Source organism: Homo sapiens, chromosome 21, assembly GCF_000001405.40.
Source record: "Homo sapiens chromosome 21, GRCh38.p14 Primary Assembly".
Taxonomy (NCBI): domain Eukaryota; kingdom Metazoa; phylum Chordata; class Mammalia; order Primates; family Hominidae; genus Homo; species Homo sapiens.
Genome location: NC_000021.9, coordinates 25,496,469 through 25,510,792, shown reverse-complemented (window position 1 = coordinate 25,510,792; position 14,324 = coordinate 25,496,469). Strand labels below are relative to the sequence as shown.

At 39.0% G+C, this 14,324-nt stretch overlaps 1 long non-coding RNA gene across 8 annotated transcripts in view; it reads left to right on the top strand.

Annotated features, from left to right (window-relative positions):
• Nucleotides 1-14,324, top strand: part of LOC105372753 (uncharacterized) — a 72,352-nt gene that overhangs the window by 8,056 nt on the left and 49,972 nt on the right. For 2 of the 8 annotated variants that reach the window (NR_188564.1, NR_188565.1), the window contains exons 1-3: nucleotides 8,295-8,378; nucleotides 12,913-13,022; nucleotides 13,967-14,084. This is a non-coding gene — a long non-coding RNA (uncharacterized LOC105372753). Of the gene's footprint in view, nucleotides 1-8,294; nucleotides 8,379-12,912; nucleotides 13,023-13,966; nucleotides 14,085-14,130; nucleotides 14,312-14,324 lie in introns of those variants that run through there. The other 6 variants (NR_188560.1, NR_188561.1, NR_188566.1 and 3 more) reach the window with 4 other exon arrangements.

Below are 14,324 nucleotides of genomic sequence, written 5' to 3'. Positions count from 1 at the left end.
TTTTCTTGTTCAGTTTCATGGATAGAACTGCACTGTGGTAATACAACAACAGTTTAAGAATATTTGAATAAATAAGTTACTTCAGCAATTGAGCTCCTGAAATTCCAGATCAGCCATTTGTAAAGTAATTTGCTTATAACATTGACAGCAAACTTAATTAGTAAATATTTATTTATTTAACAGATCTAATATGCTTCTTTACAAATGCATTATATTAGAAAGAGAAAGACTTTTATTTAGAGTCTTCTCTACCCAATTTAAAATACGCTCAAAAGATAAGTCCAGGTGATACATTCAGTGGCTGCAAATGCTTAGATTAGTTACTGAATGTATTGCTTGGACTCATCTCACGGATTCTAGAATTATCAGAAATCTGGGAGCAGAGAAAAAATAAGACACGATGTGAAATATAAAGAAATATGAATGGAAAAGACAATTCATTATTTCATAAAATATTAACAGGGATCTCTATTTAAAGAGTTGTTATTTAAGAGGGAACATGAGCAGTAGAGACAGGGGATTTTTAATTTTTTTTTTTTTTTTTTTGCTATGTTGCAGTAACCAGAAGAATCTAAATCGCTTTCCTGTAATGTTTCAAGATTCAGTGTCATATATTTGACTTTAAAGAAAGCACATGTTGCAAAAAAGAAACCAACATGTATTCTATGCTAAGGAATGGAAGGGTTGGTTGGGGCTTTAAGATATGCTTCAGAGAACATTGTGGGTGGGGAGTTTTTAAATGAAGTATCCAACTTGCAAGGCATTCAGAAAATTTTTATCATGACAGTCCCTTGATTTTAGTAACACATGGGATTTTACACTTTCTCTGAGCAATTCAAGTTTCCTTCTCAGAATCTTTTAACTGTTCAGCCTAAATTGTATCATGTCATAAACTGACAATTTTATGGGCTGAAATATAAAACGCTTCCTAAAATACAGTAGAAATATTATTTTAGGAAGGAAAATTTTTAGTAAGATTTGAAAATTCTTATTTAATATTGTACTTTAGCAAAAGACTTTCTAGGTAGGTAAAACAGATTCCAGCGTGGAATGCATCACTTTTTCTTCCGTATTTGGGAGTGTGTATTAAAGCCTTTCTATAGTAGAAGGTAGATAATCAGAGATTGAATTTTGAAATTAAGTAATCAAAATACCTTCTTTTTATGTAATTAAAAATTCAAGTATAGCAAATTGCATTTACTTTAGTAGGTATTTAGAGAAAAACATAGGACACAAAAATAATAATTTGTTTAAAAATGAATTTTAAAAATCTATGCAAAAATAAAAATTATAGAATTTAAGGGCTCTATTCTGGGAAACCTATCATAGCTGGCCATATTAAAGAATATGGATTATGTACTGATTCTCTTCTAAGTAAAATTTTAAAACATACTTAGTATAAACCAGAGTTTTGTTAGATAAAAACCCAGGTTAGTTTAAGAACCTTATAGTGTAACTGAGGTAATTGGACATTTTGAATAATTTTGTTTCCACAGACCTTTATCTTCCTAAAATTTTACTGAAATGAAAGTGCTGTCTTCATTTTTTCAATTTTTTCAAATGTAAATGCATTCTTAAATATTAACTTTAGAAAAGACTATTTGAATTTTACTCATAAATGGAGTTTTGAAAGAACGTGATCTTACAACCATTGGGCATGAGTCAACACGGCTTTTTGATAAATAAATCCCATTAAATGAATTGACTTTCTAAAAGCTGAAATAATCATTATCATAAATGCACCCCCTTCCCACTTCAAGAAAATTAAAAAAAAACCCTGTCTAGACAGAGTTGCTTATATAGTTACGGTTTGATTTTATAATTCCTGGAATATAGTACGAACACCTACTATTTGCTGGGCAGCTATTTTATGTCAGACACTTTTTCAGAAACTTTTCATGGTTTCTCATTTATTTTTCAGACAAAGTAATGGGGGCAATTATACTTATATTCCAGATAGCGAAAATGAGATCTCAGAGAGGGTAAGTGACTTGTCCCAGATTGTATTGTGAGTGGCAGAGGCAGAATTGGGATATAAATCTGTCTTTCTGAGGCCTCTGTTCTTTGCCTCAACCCCCAGCTACTTCGCCCACAGCCAAGAAAACACTGGCTCTAGGATGACAAACTGTTCCAGTTTTCCCAGGAAAGAGAGGTTCCTGGAATGTGGGACTTCAGTGCTAAGCCTGAGAAAGTCTCCGGCAAACCTAGATGAGGTGGTCATTTTATCTGTAGGCATTTATCTCTGTGGCTACTGCAGAGTCAGCAAGGCCATGCTGCTCTTTCAGAAGCTTCCTATTCCTGTGACATTATCTGCACAGCGAGATAATGCTCAAATCAGTTGGGTCAAACTCAGAGAGCTGCCTCCTGGAATAGCTGAATAGCTGTGCTGGCCAGCACATCACACAGGGAGAATTGAGCCTGTTATTTATCAATCAATCCCAGTCTTTCATGCAACTTCAGAACTCTCAGATACAATGTTTGAAACATTTTATCACAGCCCAGGATTCCTATTAATTAAAGAGAATATTAATCAAAGGCATTATTTGCATCCTTTATCTCTAATGCAAACAGAAGTGGGGTATTCTCTGATCACAATGCTTTGCTTATTAATACAGTGTGTGGCTTAGCAGTTCTTTACTTTTCCTTAATCTAATCTATTACCTTGCTAATTTTCCCACATCTCTTTCATCTGAAAGGTTTTGTTCAGTGGAATTTTTAAGTTTCTTGATAGTTGAACATATTCCTTTAGGTCAGCATATTATGTAATATCACAGATTCTGAGGACATACTGCTAATTTCTAGCTGATGACCCTGAGCAGAGTTACTTAACTTCTCTTTACCTGGTTTCCTCATCTATAAAATAGGGACAATAGTAGTTCTTACCATACAGGGTTATTTGTGGGGATTAGGTGAATCAGTTTATGTAAAGCATTTATAATAATACCTGGCACAAAGAAAGTGCTATATAAGTGCTAGCTACATTAACTATGTATGCTTTTACTGATCTTGGATGATACCATGTTGTTTTTTGCACTGGGGGCACTCAATGTTGCAATTGATGACTTGGCCAGTAGGGAGTATTTGGCATCTAGCATGTGTGCTGAAGGTTTACAGCTACCTTTTCAAAGAAATAGGAACTTATTAGTGCTCTGTTTGCAATGTTCTCATCAATCTTGTGGTGGAACTAAGACTATAGTCAATAGTCCTACAGTAGGACTATAGTTCCTACTGGAGTTCAGAAAGGTAGTAGTCTTGAATTTGAGGCTAAGAATGGTCTTACCTCTATATAAACTGAGAGAAAGCTCTCTGATAATACCTTTTCTCCTGTAAATTAAAAATGATGTATCAATGTTGAAACTAGTTCTATTAAAGAGAAAATACTTCCCTATCCTTTAAAATATACTATGGAGGCTTAACATTTATAAGCACATTTTTAATGTAGTGGACTAGGATCTCTAAAACAGTATGAGATTGCAAAGCAATGAGTCTTGGCAGTGGCCTGAAAAGATTTACCTATTAATACATGAAAGTGCTTTCATTAAAATGTAAATTTCAAGTGAGGAAAACTACATCGCTGTAATTTTGCTATCCAGAGACTGACATGCACTTTAGGATACGTGCCTTTTTAAACTGAAATATGAGGTTTAAATATGTTCAGCAGCTGTCTGCCACGTCCTCTACATTGTTCTATGATTCAGAATATTTATTGACATAGTGAATCATTCTACCATTGGTTAATCAAGAGAAGCTGCAATTGATTTAAGGAGGAGCGGCATGGTATATACACGGAAAGCAGCTGGTTTTTAGTAACGATTGAAGTGTGTAGGCATAAAAACAATAAATTGAGGTACAGATTTGAAGGAATATGTATGGATTCCAATAGCATGGCTTCTTTCCTGTTTATAAAGTGAAGTTATCTGGCTTACAATGTTAACAATTGTTTATTAAATTTAATAAGTATTAAGCATTATGTTAAATTGATTCATAATATTATTATTTGAACTCAAAGGTTGTGATTAGGCTTATGAAGTATGACTGAAAATGTAAAATACTGACAGAAATGATCCAAAAGTATTTATTTAGGTTGAATGCTTATTTGATATGTTCTGGTATTCGATAGAACAACCATTCTAAGAAACACTAAGACAACGTGATATAAAGATTTATAATGGGAAGATCAAAATATATTTACTTACAAAATAGAGCATCACCTTTTCTAAAGGGCTTCTGATCCTCTAAACTAATTTCCAAATATCTTTTAGGTCATTATATTGAAAGCAATGCAATGATCTTTGAAAATAGAGGAAGTCTTTTTTCAGTGCTGACCTCAGAATATTTCAGGTCAGTGTCACTGAACTGTCCATCTTAGTATCTAAGTATTGAGGCTGCTCCTAGGAGGGAAATACTGAAGGAAGGCTAAGATGTCTGGGAAGTGTATCACAAGTTAGAGATGATTCAACAGTGAAGGTCTATCTTTCTCCCCTGGTTGTCTTACATTTCTCTCTGAATACTGATTTTGTTGTTGTTGTCGTTCTTCGATAGTCTTTTACTCCTTAAGTGCTAGGAAGCAACTGCCTAGAGAGCTGATTATAGGGTCATTGAATTGCTGTTGGAATTTTGGTGCCAGTTAACTCAGATGTCTTCAGACCACACCCTAAGCAGTTAGTAGTATGTAATAATTGGTAATGTATAAATTTGTGTCTCTTCCCGGGAACTGGGGGAGAGCTTCCTCTATTTAACAAAGCCTATCTGGAACATGAATATGATGCTCAGGGGGGTGAGGCAGCCGTGTGTGACCATATGATGTTAGAAATTTTGAGATAAAAAATTATATAAATGTACATATATTATGTATTTTTTAATTTCTGTTTAGAATTTTGGTGATGTGTAAGTGCAAATTACATAATGTAACTACAGGTGGTGTCACCAGCTCTAAGACCAGACACTTGATAGTTGTCTGGAGCTGGCGGTTGTCAGCAGCCAAAATTCTGAAACCAGATAAAATGGCATGCAAAGTATTAATGTCTGTGTGTTCCTAGACTTTCATTTCCTTCTACCTGCTAAGAAGATTCTGGTTTCTCTGGTCCATCATGTTCTCTCTGCATCCTTTGAAGGGGGCTGCTGTGACAGAAGAATTTGTGTTTTGGCTTTTGTGATGCAGAATCAGAAGTCAAGGATGATGGCAGAAAGGAAAATAATTTTGCAATTGGGTCAGGGGAAAAGGCTTTTTTCTCCCTTTTAAGAAAATGTGTTAAAAGACATATGAGAGCAGTGGTGGCATAGGAGGAAAATGGATATGAGGTTCAAGAAGAGCAAATGTGGCAGGTGTTGAGGGTGAGCCTTCTGACCCCCTGACTAGCTCCTTCATTCCTTGCCTTTCTCTATCTTAAGACTAGAAAACAAAACGCTCAATATCTCCAGCTCCCTTGCAGGTAGGAGTGCCCATGGGCAAGATTTTGGACAGTAAAGTATGGGCTAAAGTATATTGGGGGTAAGGCGGCAGTGGTTAAAATTACATTTTGTTGTTGTTGCTGTTTTTAGAGACAGGGTCTCACTCTGTTGTCCAGGCTGAAGTGCAGTAGTGCTATTATAAGTCACTGCAGCCTCAATCTCCTGGGCTCAAATGACCTTCCTGCCTTAGCCTCCTGAGTACCTGGGACTGCAGGTGCATGCCACCGCACCCAGCTGATTTTTTTTTTTTTTAGTAGAGAAGGGTCTCACTGTGTTGCCCAGGCTGGTCTTGCACTTCTGAGCTCAAGTGATCCTCCCACCTCAGCCACCCAAGGTGCTGGCATAAAATTACATTTCTGAGTAACACCTTGTAAGAGAAAGCTCTCAGTCCCTTCACATTTTATTCCTCTAGAACATGGAGTATCCTGGAAGTATGTTAATGAAAGTCACTTGCCAAGGATGGCAAAATAGGGAGACAGAAGGAGCAACACTGTGGACTTCTGCATTGAACCTGATTGCCTACCTTTGAACATTGTGAAGACGAAAGAAAAACCTTATGTGTCATGTAGTGTTCTGGCAGACACAGGTGAAGGACCAAAACACTTCAAAAAATAATTCAATGAAGAGACTATTTATAGAGATAGTAACAAGAATAAGGGAACTATATTTCAGGGTTCTCCAGAGAAATGGAACCAATAGAAGATTTTTAAAAAGAGGTTTATTATAAGGAATTGCTCACACGATTGTGGAAGCTGGCAAGTCCAAAGTTTGCAGAGCCAATGTCCTAGTTCCAGTCCAAAGGCTGGATGGCTACCGTAGAGCCACAAAAGGCTGATGTTTCAGTTTGAAGGCTGTCAGGAAGGAGAATTCTCTGTTCCTTGGGAAGGGTCAGTCTTTTGTTCTGTGCAGGACTTCAAATGATTGGATGAGAGCCACCCACATTATGGAGGATCATCCACTTTACACAGTTTACTGATTTAAACATTAATCTCATCCAGAAACACCTTCACAGAAAACCTGTAATAAAGTTTGACCAAATACCTGGGCATCCCATGGCGCAACCAAATATATGCATAAAATTAACCATTATAGGAATTAATAAGAGATGATACAACACCCAAGGACTAGAAATGCTGGGAAGTGAGAAGGATTAAGGAAGGAAACAGTGTTCACTGGAGCCAGCAAGAACTTGAGTCAGAGAAGAGGAGCTGCCTCATAAAACTTGTGGCTATAGAAGAAAGTAATTGCCAGAATTACAGCTGTGCCAATAAGGGCAGGAGGCATGGGAGTGGTGGGGAAGACACTATGGGAGATCAATATGTGATCCTTTCTCTTCCCACCTCTATTAGCCCATTCTTACACTGCTATAAGATACTACATGAGACTGGGTAATTTATAAAGGAAGGAGGTTTAATTGACTCACAGTTCCACATGGCTGGGGAGGCCTCAGGAAACTTACAATTATGGCTGAAGGCAAAGGGAAAGCAAGGACCTTCTTCACAGGGTGGCAGGAGAGAGAACAGTGAGCGAAGGAGGAACTTGCCAAACACTATAGCCATCCATATCTCATGAGAATTTACTGACTATCATGAGAACAGCATGGGGGAAACCACCCCCATAATCCCATCATTTCCCACCAGGTCTCTCCCTGAATACCTGGGGATTACAATTCATGATGAGATTTGGGTAGGGACACAAAGCCTAACCATTTCATCACCTAAGCCAGAGGGCAGAAGATCTTGAGTATGGCTGCCCATGAAGGTCAGCCTCTTGGGAAACAGAGCAGGGCAGAGATTTAGTACAAATCAGTGGGGAGACTGGGATTAACCACAATACTTTAATAATTTAAACCACTCTGTACATAGTCTCTTTGTAATTTTAAAAAAGCCAGTATAGTATAATTAAGCCACTCAATCAAATGCAATCCTAACTGATACAGCAGGTGACAAACTTGAGTTATTGAAGTTGTTGGACTTAATTCCTTGATTGAAACTCTAATATGAATGATGGCTTTATACATGTCGCCCAATTAAGGCACACTGTAGTGCAGTTTACCAGGAACATGTGGTTTACTTTATTTACATAGCAAATGGTTTCATATATGTTTTAAATAAATTTTCTCATTTAAATAAAACACACTATATATATATGTTTTATATAATTTTTGAGAATGGAAATTTAATATCATCATATTCCTGCTAAGGGAATGTTGAACAAATATTTAAATAAAATTGATTTGAGGAGGAACCAAGTTAGTAGCCTTATTCTGATACCGTGTCTAAGGTTCTAGTTAAAGCCTACATTATGCATTGAGGTGTTTCTACCATTCAAAGAGATAGTTCAGTTTGTGGTTGGATTACATACGATCCAGTTATTGATGGTGCTTTCCTGGAGGTGACTGAGGAAATGATTGGTTCATTTTTGCAGAAATCAGTATATGAGGCAGTGTCTGGATCTTCTAAACTCCAGTTGATTCCTGTGGACCATGAAGTTTGGGTCAGGATCTAGAACCTCTGGAGTTGGAGATGCAGCCATTCTGCTCATGGAGAAGAGAGACTAGGTTTTCTATAATACCACCAAGTAGTTCATCTGATGGGTGGACAAATACATTGATTCAGCCTCAAACCCACAATTTCTGCTTGAAAGAAGATGTGTGATATTGTTTGGCTATGTCCCCACCCAAATCTCACCTTAAATTGTAATAATTCCCATGTGTCAAGGGTGGGGGCCAGGTGGAGACAATTGAATCATGGGGATGTTTCCCATATACTGTTCTCATGGTAGTGAGTAATTCTCACTAGATCTGATGGTTTTATAAATGGGAGTTCCCCTGCACAAGCTCCATTGCCTGCTGCCATGTAAGGTGTGGCTTTGCTCACTCATTACCTTCCACCATGATTGTGAGGCCTCCTCAGTGATGTGGAACTGTGAGTCAATTAAACCTCTTTCCTTTATAAGTTACTTAGTCTTACCCAGTCTCTGGTATGTCTTTTCATTTTTTTAGATGAGACATTGGACTGTGGTCTTTTGAGTTAATGCTGAAATGAGTTAAGACTTTGGGGACTATTGGGAAGGCATGATTGGTTTTGAAATGTGAGGACGTGAGATTTGGGATGGGCCAGGGGTGGAAGGATGTGGTTTGGCTGTGTTCCAACTGAAATCTCCATGCTGTTCTCATGATAGTGAGTTCTCACAAGATCTGATGGTTTTATAAAGGGCTTCCCCAGCTTCACTCTGCACTTCTCCTTTCTGTTGCCATGTAAAGAAGGATATGTTTCCTTCCCTTTCTGCCATGATGTAAGTTTCCTGAGGACTCTTCAGCCATGAGGAACTGTGAATCAATTAAACCTCTTTCCTTTATAAATTACCCAGTCTTGGGTATGTCTTTATTGGCAGCATGAAAATGAACTAATACAGTGTTCATGAAAATGAACTAATACAGTGGCTAAATGCTTATCTGGCTCTGCTATGACTAAAGTTAAATATCTTTAAACCATGTAGGTGGGATAGTCTAGGATGCAAATATGCCAGAGATCTGAATTGCATATAGAAAGTAACAACCCCACTCAATCCAAACTTGGCAGCATTGCATATTGTTGTTAAAGAGAACGGACTCACAGCAGCTGTGGGTGTTTCCAAGCCAAAATGATTGGTTAGAGAGGAAGGAGTCCCACAGTGTACGATGGTCACCTCAACTAGAATGGGATGGCTGTCTGAGTGCTTTAAACCTCTCTCAAATATGTTAACATGTGGTTCTTTGAGAGACTGACATGCTGAGGAGCCCAGGTTTTGTTAACAGATATTTATAGTAGGTCTAGATGCTGAACCTGGGTGTTCTGTTAAGGATAGTACACCATTTGGAGATCCTTAGTTTCTACATGGTTTACAGTTAAAGGGGGTTGGTGGGTAGTGGTTTTTGGAGAGAAATATGGAGCTAGCCACGGAATTTTGACAATTTTTAGTTATTTCAAATTTTATGAGTCATTGGAGATTTTTCTCCAAGGTATATTTTCTTTTTAAATTTGCTGTATTTTTAAAAAAATTCTTTTGAATGTTAGCATGAAAATCTAGATTTTACTGCATGTGTATGAAAAGCATGATTTCTGTGCTAATTATTTCAGAACTTCTGGTTGGCATTACACGTATATTCCATAAGAAACCTATGTGTCTTTATCCACTTCATCTCAACGCTAAGCTGATGTGCAGAAATAATTGAAAAGGAAATTAATTTTCTTATAATCTCTTGAGAACACACAATAAAGAGAATATATCCATAATGCCCAGTGAAATGTCTTAAAATCCTCTTTCCCCATCTTTTCATTATCTATTGCTGTGTAGCAAACCACCCTCAAATCAGTGACTGAAAATATCAATCACTGGCTATTATCTAGTGCAATTCTATGGGTTGATGAGATCAATTGGGTGATTTCAGTTCTTGTGCAGTTGGCTGGGGCTCAGTCTTTTGGAGGCTCATTTGGGCTGGAACACCCAAGATGGCTCATTCCCATGGTTGGCAGTTGGCAGCCAGGAGCACAACTGAGATTGTCCATCAGAATGTCTCAGTTTTCCTTACTATGGCTACTCAACGAGGCTTGGGCTTCTCACAGCATGGGAGCTCAGTTCTAAGAGGGAGTCCTCCAAGTACATGAAAAAGGCACCTTCAGATCTCTTTAGGACCACTTTCAGAAGTTACATAACATCACTTCCCTCACGTTCTATTGGCCAAAGCAAATATGCAAGCTATCTCAGAGTTAAAGGAGTTGAGGGATACTCTCTGCTATGGTCTGAATGTGTCCCTCCAAAATTCGTGTGGGAATCTGAGACCCAATGTGACAATATTAAGAGGTAGGCCCTTCTGGAAAATGATCGTTATGAAGGTGGCACTTTGTGGGGTTAGTTCTCTTATAAAAGAGGTTGAAGGAAAAGCCATGTTCCCTTTTTTCCACCTTCCCTCATGTAAGGACACAGCATTTGTCCCTTCCTTCCCATGAAAGAAGACACTGTCTATAAGGAATGGGCCTTTGCCAAACATTCAGTCTGCCAGCATCTTGATCTTGGACTTTCCAGTTTCTAGAACTGTGAGAAATAAATTTCTGTTGTGTATAAATACTCAGTCTAAAGTACTTTGTTATAGCAGCAGGAATGGACTTACACTCTCCCTCTTGGTAGATGTAGTAGCAATGTTTATGGCCATCTTTAATCCACTACGGCATGTCTTTCTCAATAGTTCATACACATGGCAGCTGCTCCCAAATCTCCCTCCTCTCTCACTCCCAACTCTGCCCAGACCCCATCCCCAAATTCTGTCTCTCAAGTTGTTTTTCTCATATTCCCCTGCTTCCTTTCCAATTCATCATTTCATGTCTCTAGCATATCTCTGCTCTTTCTAGTGTAAATCCACTCAGCTAGCCTTTTTAGTATTTCTTTCTTACTTGTTACCTTGAGCTTCATAATAAACTGGGACTTCCTTAGGATTTTAAATAGCATAATGCTCCTCAATGGGAGGAGGCAGAAGTGGAAAGTGGACATGATTATTCATTTTATTCCTGTCAATCTATGTTTCTGTGATGCACAGCACAATGGGAATTTATTTTATTCAATTGCATTTGATATCAGTGGAGTCTTAGAATGTGACACAAGGGTTGGGTTAGCAGAGAATGTGGCCGATTCAGGATTGAGTACTGGAGATTGCCTGAGGCACATCACGTATCAGGATTGATGGAAATGGTGCTTATTGGGCGTCATGCTATTTTTTTTAATCCTGTTACTTTTATATTTTTATTTTATTTTTTAAAAATTTAAGTTCAGGGGTACATGTGCAGGATGTGCAGGTTTGTTACATAGGTAAATGTGTGCCATGGTGGTTTGCTGCACAGATCATTCCATCCCCTAGGTATTAAGCCCAGCACCCATTAGCTATTCTCCTTGATGCCCTCCCTCCTCTCACCCCCCCACCTTCTGACAGGCCCCAGTGTGTGTTGTTCCCTTCCACGTGTCCATTTGTTCTCATTATTTAGCTCCCACTTATAAGTGAGAACATGCAGTATTTGGTTTTCTATTCCTGCATTAATTTGCTAAGGATAATGGCCTCCAGCTCCATCAATGTTCCTGCAAAGGACATGATGTCATTCCTTTTTATGGCTGCATAGTATTCCATGGCGTATATGTACCACGTTTTCTTTATCTAGTCTATCACTGATTGACATTTAGGTTGATTCCATGTCTTTGCTATTGTGAATAGCGCTGCAGTGAACATACATGTGCACTAGTCTTGATATGAATGATTTATATTCCTTTGGGTATATATCCAGTAATGGGATTGTTGGGTCACATGGTATTTCTCTCTCTAGGTCTTTGAGGAATTGCCACACTGTCTTCCACAATGGTTGAACTAATTTACACTCCCACCAACAGTGTAAAAGCATTCATTTTTTCTCCACAACCTCGCCAGCATCTGTTGTTTTTGACTTTTAATGATAGCCATTCTGATTGGTGTGAGATGGTATCTCATTGTGGTTTTGATTTGCATTTCTCTAATGATCAGTGATATTGAGCTTTTCTTCATATGTTTGTTGACTGCATATGTGTCTTCTTTTGAGAAGTGTCCATCATGCTATTTTGAAGAGCAATGTTGTTGGCCCTAGGCTTAAAGAGTTTTATTGTGAACTTGAGACTTCTTAGAAATAGATCCCCTGCAGAAGTTGGTTTCTGAAGAAAACAACATTAAGCAAAAATACATTTCAGCAGTTCTGGCCCAATATTGTCTTTAGAACAAGAGTACATGTTGAAGCCCACAAACCATATATTTAAATATTTTAAAATTATAACTCAAACTAGTAATCTGTTAAATAAAATCTGTTCTGTTCTCTTATCTTGACAAATATACCTTTATGTTGACCTGGGAGGCTATGTGCAAATTTTTGACTGTCAAGCTTCTCAGAGTTCTTTGATGAAATGTGGCAGCTTTGGGAAAACTGAGCCTGGACCCTGCCTGCTCCCCTTTTCTCCCCACCACTAGGCTCCTCTGGTACTGAGAGAGATCTCCCTCTATGTGTATGGACACTCCAGGTCATACTCCAGAGCTGGGTCCATAGTCCTTAAATACAGCAGCTCCTTAGCCACTCCTCTGGCCTGGGATGAGCAAATGACCAGTGCCATCCACTTTTAGGAGGCACACCTGGTGAAACGTTCCATTCCAGCCTTGGAAGTGGGTTCAAGGATGTCTGGGCAGGAAAATCCAGGGTCCAGATTCCCAGTGCAGGGTCTACAAAAGGAGGCACAGCTTCCACATGACAAGTTTGGCTCCATAAGCTTCTTGCTTTCTGGTGTGGCGTGTGGCAGGAAGGGGGCTAGAGTGAGCACAGGGTGCAGAACGGGGGACCTCTTGTCCAGATCATGGGCAGTACTGCCTTGAGCTGTGGGTGTGCAGAAATTCAACTTGATTTTTTCTTTTCTGCACAGGTTCAGCAGCCAGAGTCCTATCCTGTACTTCTCTTCACGTTGCAGACATCCACGAAAGAGTGAGACTGTTTTCGGTTGGATTGAAGAGCAAATGTGTGGAAGGCACCAAGGTTTGTGTGTAAATGTGGTGAGTGGGGCCAAGGAGAACTTCTGCACTTCTGCCAGGAGGAATTAGGAGGCTGAGCAAGACAGACCGCCTGGTCAGTGTGGAGGCGTTGAACTGTGCTATGTGAGACTGATAACATTTGGCTCTTGTCTAATGAGCCCACCTGGCCACACTGGGGAATTGAAGAATCTAGTGACTAGAGGGTACCCACGTATAGGTTATCCATAAGAATTCCCAAATATTGAAGAAGCTTAAAAAGTGTGTTAAACAGTCCTTTCTGCCCAGAGATCAAAGGCAGCTGAAAGATCTATATTGGATATCCTGATCTATTCTTCAGTCTCAATGGATTCAGCTCCCTTGGAAATGCTTTTTTGTGCATGAGCAATCACTTGTATCTGAGACTTTCTGAGTCATTGATTAGTGCGGGTTTGCATCATCAGATACAGCTTGAAACCAATCTTTAGAATGTTTCCCAGTCATCTTTTTGTGATTTTATGATGGCAAGAATTTACATTCCTTCCCCGTCCCATGACTGGTATGTGTGTTCTAGGAAAAGTTGGCATTGGTTCTATCTGGATGTATTGATGCTGCTGTTTTGGGGGAATATCCAGTGCCAGAAAATGCCTGGAACACCCTGATCCAGTGGGAGGGTGTTAAACCCTAATGGGTCTATGCCATTGTCAATGTTCAGCAGGCCAGATGCCTTTGGAGGGAGAAGGTCAGGGGTTTGGACCTTTGGGGTTAACCACCACTCAATAATTTCCTACAGTCAAAGACTCACTTCTCTCTACTGATTACACTCCCACTACCATTTTGCACTAAAGTACAAGTGCAGATTAAGTGAGTTATTCAGTTGGTTGCAACAGCATACCACTACAGGGGTAGCTGGTCTTCTAAACAGAGCTTGGGATATTACTTTACTTACATTTTTTTTTTTTTTTGAAACAGGGTCTCACTCTGTCACCTAGGCTGCAGTGCAGTGGTACAATCACAGTTCACTGCAGCCTTGACCTCTTGGGCTCAAGCAATCTTCCTGCCTTAGCCTCCTGAGTAGCTGGGACTACAGGTGAGCCACCAGCCTGGCTAATTTTTAATTTTTTTTTTTTTTGTAGAGACAGGATCTCACTATGTTTCCCAAGTTGGTCTTGAACTTCTGGCCTCAAGCAATTCTCTTGCCTTGGCCTCCCAAAATTCTGGAATTATAGGCATGAGTCACCAGAAACGGCCCACTTTATTTACTTCTGTGATGCCTATACATTGTGTTATCAATAAAACTTGAGATTCTGTAACTGAGACTGGTCTCTGT